An 11,799-nucleotide genomic window follows, 5' to 3' on the forward strand; every position below is an offset into this window, starting at 1 on the left:
GAAGACTTGTAAAATATAGCCTGAAGGGAATGGAGACTGGGAGAGTGAAAGATACCTCTGAGACATTTTGGCTTGGACAGAACAGGGGGTGGAGGCTTCCATTCCTGAGCTGCAAAGGAGTGGGGAGGGAGGAGCAGTGTAGTTTGGGAAGTGTGTGGTGGAGAAGGCAGATGGGGCAGGAGCTCTGTCTTGCATCTCTCAGGTCAGAAATGCCTCAGACATCCAGGGGGGGCAAGCTAAGATGGAGTTGAACACAGCAGTGTAGGGCTCAGGGGACAGGCCAGGAATGGAGAGAAACATTTGGCACTCATCTACTTGTAGCTTCCCTGTCGAGAAAAATGAAATCATCCAGGGGTTTTCAAATTCAGTGGTCTCTGGACCCCTTCACACTGTTAAAAATGGAAAACCCTGCCACTGTCTACATGTTTATGTTGCCCCAGTAATCTATGCATTGAAACCTAATCACCATGTGATGATATTAGGAGCTGGGGCCTTTAGGAAGGGATTAAATCGTGAGGGTGGGGGACCTTTATGAATGAGATTGTGCCTTTATAAAAGAGAGCTGCTTTGCCTCTTCTGCTAGAAGGTGCCCTCCGTGAACCAGAAAGTGGAGCCCTCACAAGACACTGAATCTGCCAGTGCCTTGATCTTGGACTTCCCAGACTCTAGAACTGTAAGGAATAAGTTTCTGTTGTTTAAAAGCTACCTAGTTTAAGGTGTTTTGTTATAGGTGCCCAGACAGGCTAGGACAAACGCCAATAAGCTTTCGTTTATGTGGGTTGTATCCATTGATACTTGCTGTATGAAGAATTAAAATTAATAACTTTAAAAAGATTTATTGATTCAGAAACAGTAACAAAACTTAATATGCGTTAACGTACTTTTATGTTGGATAAAAACTATATCCCACCCCAGTATATGAATAGAGTGGCATTGTTTTATGTGTTTAATCTCTGGCTTAACAGAAGGCAATTGGATGATCATACCTGCTTCTATGTTTATTCTGCTGCCAATATCACACAGCTTCTGGAAACTTCCACGGCACACATTCATGAGACAATAAGAGTTAAAAAGGTAAACAGTGTCTTAGTAGTGTATGAAAATAGTTTAATCTCATAGACCCCCTGAAAAAGCTGCAGAATCCTTACGCGTTCACAAACCACACTTTGAGAACTAAAGATCAAGGAGTACAGTTTTCTCATTTTTATGCTGTTCAGAGTGTGGTTGAAGTTCAGCCATCACTAGTCCTTCACGGATAGTTCATACCCCAAGTTGATGGCCTTGTGGAATTGCTGATGCTATTTTCATATATATATATATATATAATTCTAGCCTTTTTCTCTGGTCTTATAAGAGTCACATACGTAGGTAATTTCATATCCTACAAATATGTTCTAAACAGCAGAATATTCCAGGAAACCTTAAGTGATAACTGAGTTGAAAGAGTCATATTTTTTAAGCAATACAATTTAAATAATTTTTAAAGGAAACATTTCTAAAGGACGTTTTACATTGCTTGCATTAAAAAGAATATAATGAACATAATCCAACTTTTTCTCAATACTCAGGGTCATCACTGTGAAAGTAACTTCATTCTATGATAAGATAATGATGCTCCCAGGTGGGCAAGGCAGTTTTTCATCTAAGGTAATTGAGACACCTTTTAAAAGCAAAAGATAAATTCACAGACCCTCAGTGTCATTATAAATTACTTGGTATAAAGATACTTAAATACCTACAGCCTTATAAGGCCTAGGTGTCAATTTTTTACGCTTGCAGATCTTTTACAACTGTAAGTTAAATGATTTTACACATTAAGTGCATATAAAACAAAAAGATTCAAACCCAAATATTAATTTAATGACATGGGTAATATTTTGCTAAAAGTAAACCACTGCTCAGAATGTGAATAAACTGACCTCGAAGGCCTGAGTACGTTTGAATTACGGAACACCTCTCTTTGACATCACAATTGAATTTTTTCTTTAAGTATCGCAAGGCCCCAGTTCACGGAAGTACCACAACATAAATTGGTCTTCACTTGGTATGTGAACACATATTTATATGTTAAATGTGTCTTTTCTTTTTGGTGTACAACAGCTAGAGTAATGCAGTTTGCTTGCAATGTGTTTTTTATGTAAATGCTGATGCCGAATCCACTTGGCAGCACTGAGTTACAAGAAGGTTAAGTAGATGAACTAGAAGATGGATAAACGAAGATAGATAAAATGAAGAAAAACAAAAATCAAGGAGAACTCAGGCGTCCAAGAGTGTGTAAACAACTTCTGGTGTGAGACGCGCTACATTGCGCTAAATGGCCTGTGCGCTTCTGGTTTTTCCCTTCCTCTGTTGATTTTTTATAGTTGTCTTTTATTTTAAACACGCCTCCCCCCCCCCTTTTTAAACTGATTTTACCATCACTCTCTCTAGCCCTGCCTCCCTAGAATTAGCTGCTTCTTACCTCCCTTGGATCTGGAACTTAAATATTAACGTGTATATAAGTTAATAGTAAGTAGACCGTGAATTTAGAAGAGTAAAACAGAATCATGAGTACGTAGTCACTGTGGCCCCTTTTCTGCTGGATTTCAAGTTCGTAAGCATTTTTGGAAGAGAGTCGAAGGGGAAGGGGTGGCTTGCCAGTCAGTTGAGTGATGCGTGAGGGAGGCGTTAAATGTGCATGATGCACTAAAATGCATGTTTCGAGATCCAGTATGACTGCTCTTCCATAGATGATGAAACCAAGGCAGAGAAATAAGATGTAACTCTCTTACCTTGATTAGTGATGAGAATGGGACAGCTTTATTCATGAAACCCGGAAACCACTAGCCCATTCTTGGGATGATTGATATCTGCAAGGATCTTCAGGAATAGAGTACCTGGGGCTCAGGAGCCAAGACTAGAAGTGTTGAAAGGTGAGCAGGAATTAGCTGCTGGCCTCAGACGTGGAGAGACACACGGGTGTATGTGTGCACACACACACACAGGCACATGTATATTCATGATGGCTTCTTAATTCCCACTCCAGGCCAACTCATTTCCCTTTCCCTTCCACAGGTACTTATACCATAAAAGGTATATGAAGTGCTAAAATACTTGTAGGTATGTTGTCAATATGAGCTACTCTGTAAATGATAAATAATAATTGACTGGTGAGTCTAGGCAAGGCAAGTCAATGAGATTACAAGAAAAGAGATGTTAGGCCTTCAGAAAGATGGAAATTTCTCTTTGTCCCTGCAGGGACTGTTGCAGAGCATTAGAGCCACCCTCAAACAGTTACCCAGTGAGTCTCCTCAAAGCAAGTGGCACTGAGATACAACCTTCCTACAGGTTTTCAAGTCATCTCGTGTGGTGCACAGTCCTCGCCCTACCTCGAAGGCCCGGGCGAAGTTTTCCTGAGTGTGTATACTCATCTCTTTGTGTTGTCTCTGGCAGGGAGCAAGTGAGTACAGGATTGGAGTAATAGGCATTTTTAGGCTTGAGATGGCTTTGTGTGTTTGGTTAATGTCACTACATTTCCTAGGGGATAATAAAAGTCTAGCATGATAAAAGATCTCGTCTTACAAGGTCCCGATGTAAAGTTTGGAGCCTAACTTAGAATTTAAAATAAAATACATTTTGACCCATTGTATTGAGAGCTGGTATAATTTAATATAGTGAGCCCCTCGGCTTCTGGTTGGTTGGGTTATAAAGCTTCTTATTCATTCGCTCATCCATTAATGCATTTCTCCTATGAGGAAGCTTTTTCCTTTGAGCTGAACACACAAAATTAATCGTGCTCGAACTCTCCAAATTTTGTGAGTTCCCTGGTAACTGACTGTATGGAAGACAGAAATAAAAATCAGAATAAACTTTTATTTTCTGAATCAGAAAGCAGTTGCTCCAGCTTTTGGTGGTCACATTGCTAAGATGTAAAAAACAGAAGTTAGGTGAAATAAATTAAGAATAATTATTTTGGAGAAAGAGAGGGTAGTGTTTGACTAAATTAGAAACATTCTCTGAGTCTTAGAAGCGTGAATGATTTAAATGAGGTTCCAGCATAGTATTGCATGTGGTTTCTATTTTAGAGTTTTCCCACTTGAAAACAAACTTTGAGGATTTTTATTGAAGTCCATCAGTTTTAACTTACTCAAAGCTTAGCAGCCACCTTTTGCTTTTCTTCCCGTTCCCCCCACCTCATGCTGTGAAGAAAGTCATACACCATTGTGGTGTTGATTGAAACCTTTATTTCTCCAGGTCTCCTCTCATAAACTGGGCTAAGAAACACAAAGGACATTTGACACTTCATGACTACATAAGATGTGCTGTTCCTCTCTCTTTCTGTTTGAAAGTGACTTGGCAGGGTGAAGTTGAGAACCCCTTGGAAAGGAGGAAGCCGAAATGCAAACAAAGTTGAATCATGAAGTGATGTCACTCTGAACCAATTGGAGCAGTGGTGTCATGTGCCTGGCAGCTACTTCAAATGCCCACAAAACAGGAGTAATGGTTTAAGCTGTTTCCCTCTTCCCCTCCCACCACCAATCAGCAGCAGACTGCTAGAGGACAGATGCAAAACAGTTATTAGACCAGGCTTAGTTAGACATGGAGGATGCATCTTAACAAGTTAGTACCTTTTTGCAAAGCATGAAGACTAATTCAAAGTCTATTTTCTGGTTTTGCTCTACCAGTACGGCCAAAACCATTTCTTTTTAAGTGAGAAGTGGGGATATGGTCAGGTTTGATTCCAGTTGAAGTTGTGAGCTGCACAGGGCTGGTCTGAGCCCAGTGGCATCTTTCCAGGTGTCAGAGCCATGATTTTAAGCTCCTGTTAAATTCACAGTGCTTAGTAACCATAACTTCTTGGTTTCATGATCATAGGGGTTTTTGCATAGCTGCCACCCCCATTTTCTGTTTGTGATCCAGTAGTTAAAACTCCCAGAAAATATTTCTCACCCTGGTTTAAATAAACAAAACAGCCACCACAAAAACAAACAAAAACTTGGCTAACCACTATTTTCAGGCATATTCTGAGAGAGAAAGAGGGGGAAAAAAAGACTAGACATCCTAAAATTAAGCAACATTATTTTTGGAATTGTGTTGTTTCTTATACTCAGTCATTTGTGAATGATGTGGTTCAAACAAAACTGAAACAAAAATAGTTTTTCTCATTAAAAATATGTTTGTCGCATAGCCAGCACTCGGAACTAGGGAGGGTAACATGGAAGTATTGTCATTCTCGGGGCTGACTGGTTGACAGCAGCCTATACAGGAGTGGAGAATATTGACAGGGCTGCCCGTTCTCCCCAGGTCGAAGAGAGCAAATGCACATCCCTGTGTGCACGGCCACCTGGTTCCTCTCCTCACTTGCTGGTGAGTATTGAACGGCTCACATAATTAGGCAGAACTCAGGAACTTTCCTCCCTATCTCTTTCACTCTTCTGAAATGCCCTTTATGTTTTCCTCTGCTCTTTCAGTCCCAGTGCCTTTTCTCTGGTGCAGCCTCATGGTTCGGTCTCACCTTCAGCTTTTCCTTCCCTCCAATACATCCTGTAAATTATTGTCAGACTTCTTCTTATCTAAATAACTCGTTTAGGTAAGGTACTCATATGTTCAAAATACCATGGTGGCTCCCTGTTCTCTGTGATGTGAAGTCCTAACCATTAGACTCAGCTTTCCCCCAGGACACCTTGGCTTATCTTCTTGCTGCTTTCCAGAGGCATGGGCCATTAGGCTGGTTTTCTGAAGGTTCTGCCAAAAGGCTGGGCCCTTGTCTCCCACCCCACTGCTGTTACTCATGTGTTCTCCCACTTGCTCGGCATTCTTTCCCATGCTTTTTCCTTGATCATCACTTACTAGCTAACATCTATTTTTTCCTAAACACTCTGTTGCAGTTGTAGTCTGCAGTCACTCTCCTAAGACTTGATCATCTATTACGCTGTTTCGTTCTTTATTTTTTAACTTTTCTTCTTCTTTTTTTTTTTTGAAACGGATTCTCGCTCTGTCACCCATGCTGGAGTGTACTGGCACAATCTCGGCTCACTGCAACCTCTGCCTTCCGGGTTCAAGCGATTCTCCTGCCTCAGCCTCCCTAGTAGCTGGGATTACAGGCACGCGCCATCACACCTGGCTAATTTTTGTATTTTTAGTAGAATCGGAGTTTCACCATGTTGGCCAGGAGGTCAGGTCGAACTCCTGACCTCAAGTGATCCACCTGCCTTGACCTCCCAAAGTGCTGGGATTACAGGCATGAGCCACCATGCCCGGTTGTTTTGTTCTTTAATTTTACAAACTTGGCATAGCTTAGAAGACCATATACAGTGGCACCATATACAGTGGCACCATATTAGTGGCACCATATACAGTTTTCCCTGAGAAAACTGGTACCTCCCAACAGATACCAAAATCTGGGACCACCCCAACAGATACCAAAATCCACAGATGCTCAAGTCCCTTTTATAAAATGGTGTGATATTTGTGTATAGCCCATGCTCATCTTTCCGTATACTTTAAACCAGGGATCCCCAACCCCTGGGCCACAGACCAGTCCCGGTCCATGGCCTGTTAGGAACCAGGCTGCACAGCAGGAGGTGAGTGGCAGGCCAACTAGCATTAACTGCATGAGCTCCGCCTCCTGTCAGATCAGCAGAGGTCCTAGATTCTCATAGGAGTGAGAACCCTATTGTGAACTGAACATGCAGGGAATCTCAGTAATGCCTGATGATCTGAGGTGGAACAGTTTCATCCCAAAACCATCCCTCTCCCCCACCCATCTGTGGAAAAATTGTCTTCTACGGAACCGATCCCTGGTGCCAAAAAGGTTGGGGACCACTACGTTAGACCATCTGTAGATTACTTATAACACCTAATACAATGTAAATAGTTGTTATCATGTATTATTAGGGAATAATGACAAGGAGAAAAGTCCATACATGTTTAATACACAAGCATCCTATTTTTTTTCCTGAATATTTTTGATCTGCAGTTGGTTGAATCCATGGGTGTGGAGCCCTCAGATATGGAGGGCATGCTATACTGATCACCCCTATGGGTGTGAATGTTGGGCAGATCCTCCAGTGTCACCAGCCATGTGGCCTTGGTGACCTTTCCATACTTTTCAATCAGAATGATGATCTCCACCTCTCAGGAAAGTTGTGGGGATGAAATGGTATAGTCTGTGTGTGTAGAGTTGTTAGGCTGGGGCCTGCCATGTTAAATGCCCATGAAGCAGGTAATTATGGTAGTAGTGGTTGATATCTTGAAATCAGGGGGATTCCCAAATTTCTACCCCAAATCTGGATGACTGCATATTGCGGGAGTTCAGTAAATATTTGTTGCACTAATACTTATGTGCATACGCTGAAATAATCTAAATATTTAAAAACCAAACTAACGGTAGGACTTTCCTCAGGGATTTAACGTTTGCTGTAGAAGACTGAATGATAGAATATATAAGCTGTATTTTTCTTGTGATTCTACACATTGTCCATGTTGCAACTTAAATATTTTTGGAATGCAATGTAAAAGTGATTTACTGTCCTATAATTGTTTTCCTGAAAGCAAAATGATATTTAAGTGAACTGCAATGAAAAATGCAACGACTGTAATTTATCGTTGAAGGGCATTTTCAAAGTGTATAGAATGACTAAAGCTTAAGTGTATTAAATATTCTAGAGGAAGACATATTTAGGCTATAAATCTAGACTTCCTTTGGAATTTGTTTCCTTTTTCTCAGCCAGGTGTATGAAGATTTTAAGTTCTTAGGCCTCAGTGGGAAGAAGATTTAAGGTTCCAAGAGTACATTTGTATCTCTTTTAAATTTTCTATTGTTTATCAGTGACATATGTAAATGTTTTAGGGAGCTGTTTACTGTAACATTACCTACTTTAGCTCTGTGCAGTTGTCTGGCAACCAATGTGATAAAGACAGAGGGAAGTGCTGTATTTTGTTGCTGACAAGTATATCTTAAAAGTGCAGGTGCACCTGAATAGGCAATAAAGTATTAAGAGCTGCTCCTGGAGCAGTTTGCTCTCTGTGACGTGTGAAAAGTCTACGGGGTTTATAATTGGTCTGGCCATACGGCTGCCTAGGATTAGACTCTTTTCATATCCCACTAAACACTCTCCTTAGAAGCAAGCACAAGGAGATAGTTTATTTTAAAATGTAATTGCTATGTTACTAAGATTTGAATTTGAGTACCGAGAATAAACCATATTTCTGTTTAGAGGCTGGTTGGCTTAAAATTGTGTCTAATCCTTCCCCTGCCCCCCAACTCCGAATCAGAGAATGAATAACAAATAAACATGACAATGAAGTCTCATGCTGTTGTTTTCATATTTGTATTTAGGAGTTTCAGAGCAAATGACTTGGAAAACAGGCAAATCCACTGACATAGGCATTTTTAGCCACCTTGGAATCCGAGGAGGGATTCTGCACTATGCCCTGTAACCTCGTTCACATGCCGTTTGAATGTATACCATGAAGACCCCTTAGCTCAGGGAGCTTTGCTCTATTTAAGTAATGTTTATATTCTTAATGAACCAAAGAGGAAGTGGTCATGGGAAAAGAGCCAGGACTAGATTTCATTCTAATGCTTATAAGGAGAGTTCTAGGAAACCCTCAGACTTGGTAAACCAAGGCATTTGGAGATACTATGAATTGGTTTAAAAGGCCATTTACCACTTCTTTTGTAATTGGCCTTTTAAACCAACTCTCACTTAGCTGATTAAATGTGGTCATTTAAACTGCTAGTTAACAATCGGAAGTGCAGTGGCGCAATCTCAGCTCACTGCAACCTCTGCCTTCCGGGTTCAAGCGATTCTCCTGCCTCAGCCTCCTGAGTAGCTGGGATTACATGCGCACGCCACCACACCCGGCTAATTTTTGTATTTTTAGTAGAGATGGGGTTTCACCATGTTGGTTAGGCTGGTCTCAAACTCCTGACGTCATGATCCACCTGCCTCGGCCTCCCAAAGTGCTGGGATTACAGGCATGAGCCACCGCGCCCGGCCTAAGATTTCTTATTGTGGTATTCTGCAGTGGAGAATGGGAGTTGGAAAGAAATGTTTTCTCCCACACCTGTCCCGCTCCTGTCTACTGAAAGCTGATTAATCAGTCAGATAGTGAGTTCCTATTGGTAGTACGCCTCCAAAATTTGGAAGAGGGGAGGTGGCGTGATGTGAAAAAGCAAGGCTTTAGGGAGAGATTCCCGCTGGGGGCATTCACCCTCTGGTCCAGCGTGCCTGTTACAGTGATCACTCCATAGTGGTTTTGCATGAACAAGACTGCCCAGTTTGCTTAGGAAGAAAACAAAGGACATAAGGTAGTTCTCATGTCTTCCCAGCACCCTAAATACTCGGGCTAAACTTCCACAGTCAGACCGTCAGCTTCAGGAAGGGCTGCTGTTGGGAACTTTTTTTTTAGTTTGCAGTTAGTTCAGCTCCAGCCAAAAACCTACAAAAAGCCACTGCAAGCCCTCTGCCTGCTCGTATAAGACACCTTGGTTGGGCCCCTGTGACTGTCCATCCATAGGATGGTTGGCCATTGACTGCACAGAGAGGTAGGGCAAGATAAAACGACTCATTTGTGGATCTGACTCCTTGTACTTCTGTTTGGATTCAAACAGAGGAAGATAGAGTAGTGGCCTTGGGAAACCGTGGAGAGAGAAAAGGCATAGTCAGAATGTTTTCAGAGGAGCGCAGACTTTTCAAAACCCCTCTCATCACGTTCCCACTGACCTTCAGTTCCAGTGCTGTGGCCACAGGGTGTCTGCACCCCAACTTCTTTGCCAAGAAATTAATGATCTGTGAAGACACACAGACATGAGGCGGACTTACTATTTAAAGGAATCCTGAAACGAATATTTTTCTGATACATATTTATCCTAATATATTTGCTGAGCATGGTTTTTTTTTTTTTTTTTTTCCTATTTTGGAGTTTTTGGGTTTTTTAAGCCTAGGGAATGCCTAATATGTACTGTGGAGTGCATTTGTTCATTTATATCCCAGTGCATTGTAAAATCGAGCAATTCAGTGCCTTAGAATCCTTTCTGTGAACTTGATGCTACGTGAACTACTTGAGAACAACTACTTTCAAGCCCTCCGAAGCACTCAGTTACAACTGTCGGTCTAATTGCACATTATTCTAATTCATTAAAAAAGTCCCCAAGGGCTTCTTAGGATACTGCTCTATGTTATTAGAAGTCCTTCCAAATAGAAAAACTTTATTAATTTAAAAATAACCGCCAATTCAGACTTCGATTCAAACAAGGCATTTTACCAAGTCCGGCTGAAAGAGCTTCTTACCACATCTGGCATGTAGAATGGCAGAAGACTATTTTTGCTAGATTCCTTGTTGCTGCAGCCGTTTCTGATGTCCTTTTCCCCTTCACACCTTTCGTGTTACACATGTCTGAGATGACATGATGCTAAGTAACCAAAGTACTGCTGCGATGGAATTGCTCTGATGTTTTTTTCCAGAGTGAAAGCTGCTATTACTTTAAAAAAAAAAAAACTTGAGGTTTGGTTTCTTTCCCCCTCTATCCGGGTGTTATACAAATATGTAATTAAGATGTTTGGGGGTTCAGATGACAAACAAGGAGTCTACTTCTAAGAATGCATTTGCAAGCCAAAAGAGTGGTGAACCACTTCAGAGTGCGGGTCTGTGGGGGATGATGTCTGCTTTGCTTCGTTTTGTGGAATAATTTTTAACATTTCTATTTAGCATTCATGATACTCTAAATAGAAGCAGGAGAACACTGTGGCTCTCGGATCCAGGAGAGGCAGGCCACGAGGGCTCCTGCTGTTTGGGGACAGTCTGTAACTCTAAATCTTTTTATATGCAGCAATTATGACCTTAAAAATGGGTGACTCTAATACTGGCATTCATTGCCTAAAAATAATTTTAATGTGCAAATGCCAGAGACCAGGTCATCTCAGAAATGGACTAGAATTGACCACTGCTATGTTTTGGTGAAACCTGATAACCTTGCTTTTCTCCGTGTACCTTGTTTTTCATTGTAAAACTATTTAATTATGAAAATGAGAGTGTGAAAGGCAAAGTATGATTGAATTTAGGGGGCAGTTCCATATAGTTGTAACAAACTGATTATCAAATGTCCACCATTAGTATGTTAAAATACGGTTTTCTAATACTGAGACAACAGGGATGGAGCAGCCTATCCACTGAAGTCTTGTTGTTTGTCCCTGCTGTGTCCCAACCTGGAATCTCTTTCTTCTTCCTTCAGCAGACCCTTCGAGATCAGCTTAAGCTTCACTGCCTTAGAGAAACTTTCCTGTCTACCTGGACTGTCTTCTAGATTTCTAGAGCAGTGTTCCTGCCCTTTTCCTTTCTAAATGGGGTGGGAGTTCTCAGAGAACTCATCTCCTTTATGGCTTTATCCATCACAGCCACACAGATAGGTTCTGTCTGGACCATCCTTTTCCCTGAGCTTTCTTCTCCTTTGCCATGTGTTTTCATTTCTGCCAGACACTGGCACTGGGGAAGCCTCCCATCGTCTCAGACTCAGGGTGTGTGAAAAACAAACCTGCTTTCTGGACTCTACAGTTTGTGCACTAGCCTAAGCCGAAAATCTTGAAATCTGTCATCAGTGACTATTGTAGTCCATAGGAATACCCAAGACTGGGTAATTTATAAAGAAAAGAGGGTTAGCTTTTTTTTTTCCGGCTCATGGTTCTTCAGGCTGTTCAAGCATGGTTCCAACATCTGATCATCATCTTTTTTTTTTTTTTTTTAGATGGAGTCTCATTCTGTCACCCAGGCTGGAGTACAGTGGCGCCATCTTGGCTCACTGCAACCTCCCACTTC

General features: G+C 41.4%; 1 protein-coding gene across 7 annotated transcripts in view, besides 3 other annotated features; it reads left to right on the forward strand.

Annotated features, from left to right (window-relative positions):
• Positions 1–11,799, forward strand: part of IGF1R (insulin like growth factor 1 receptor) — a 315,992-nt gene that overhangs the window by 170,358 nt on the left and 133,835 nt on the right. The gene's annotated exons all lie outside the window — the stretch shown is intronic.
• Positions 3,576–4,134: an enhancer, noted in NCBI's record as "OCT4-NANOG-H3K27ac hESC enhancer chr15:99365701-99366259 (GRCh37/hg19 assembly coordinates)". NCBI's record gives its function as "activates a minimal SCP1, AML or CMV promoter by ChIP-STARR-seq in naive H9 embryonic stem cells {active_cell/tissue: H9 hESC(naive)}" and the evidence as "EXISTENCE:reporter gene assay evidence [ECO:0000049][PMID:30033119]".
• Positions 4,135–4,693: an enhancer, noted in NCBI's record as "OCT4-NANOG-H3K27ac-H3K4me1 hESC enhancer chr15:99366260-99366818 (GRCh37/hg19 assembly coordinates)". NCBI's record gives its function as "activates a minimal SCP1, AML or CMV promoter by ChIP-STARR-seq in naive and primed H9 embryonic stem cells {active_cell/tissue: H9 hESC(naive and primed)}" and the evidence as "EXISTENCE:reporter gene assay evidence [ECO:0000049][PMID:30033119]".
• Positions 8,131–8,632: an enhancer, noted in NCBI's record as "NANOG hESC enhancer chr15:99370256-99370757 (GRCh37/hg19 assembly coordinates)". NCBI's record gives its function as "activates a minimal SCP1, AML or CMV promoter by ChIP-STARR-seq in naive H9 embryonic stem cells {active_cell/tissue: H9 hESC(naive)}" and the evidence as "EXISTENCE:reporter gene assay evidence [ECO:0000049][PMID:30033119]".

This window comes from Homo sapiens, chromosome 15, assembly GCF_000001405.40.
Source record: "Homo sapiens chromosome 15, GRCh38.p14 Primary Assembly".
NCBI lineage: Eukaryota > Metazoa > Chordata > Mammalia > Primates > Hominidae > Homo > Homo sapiens.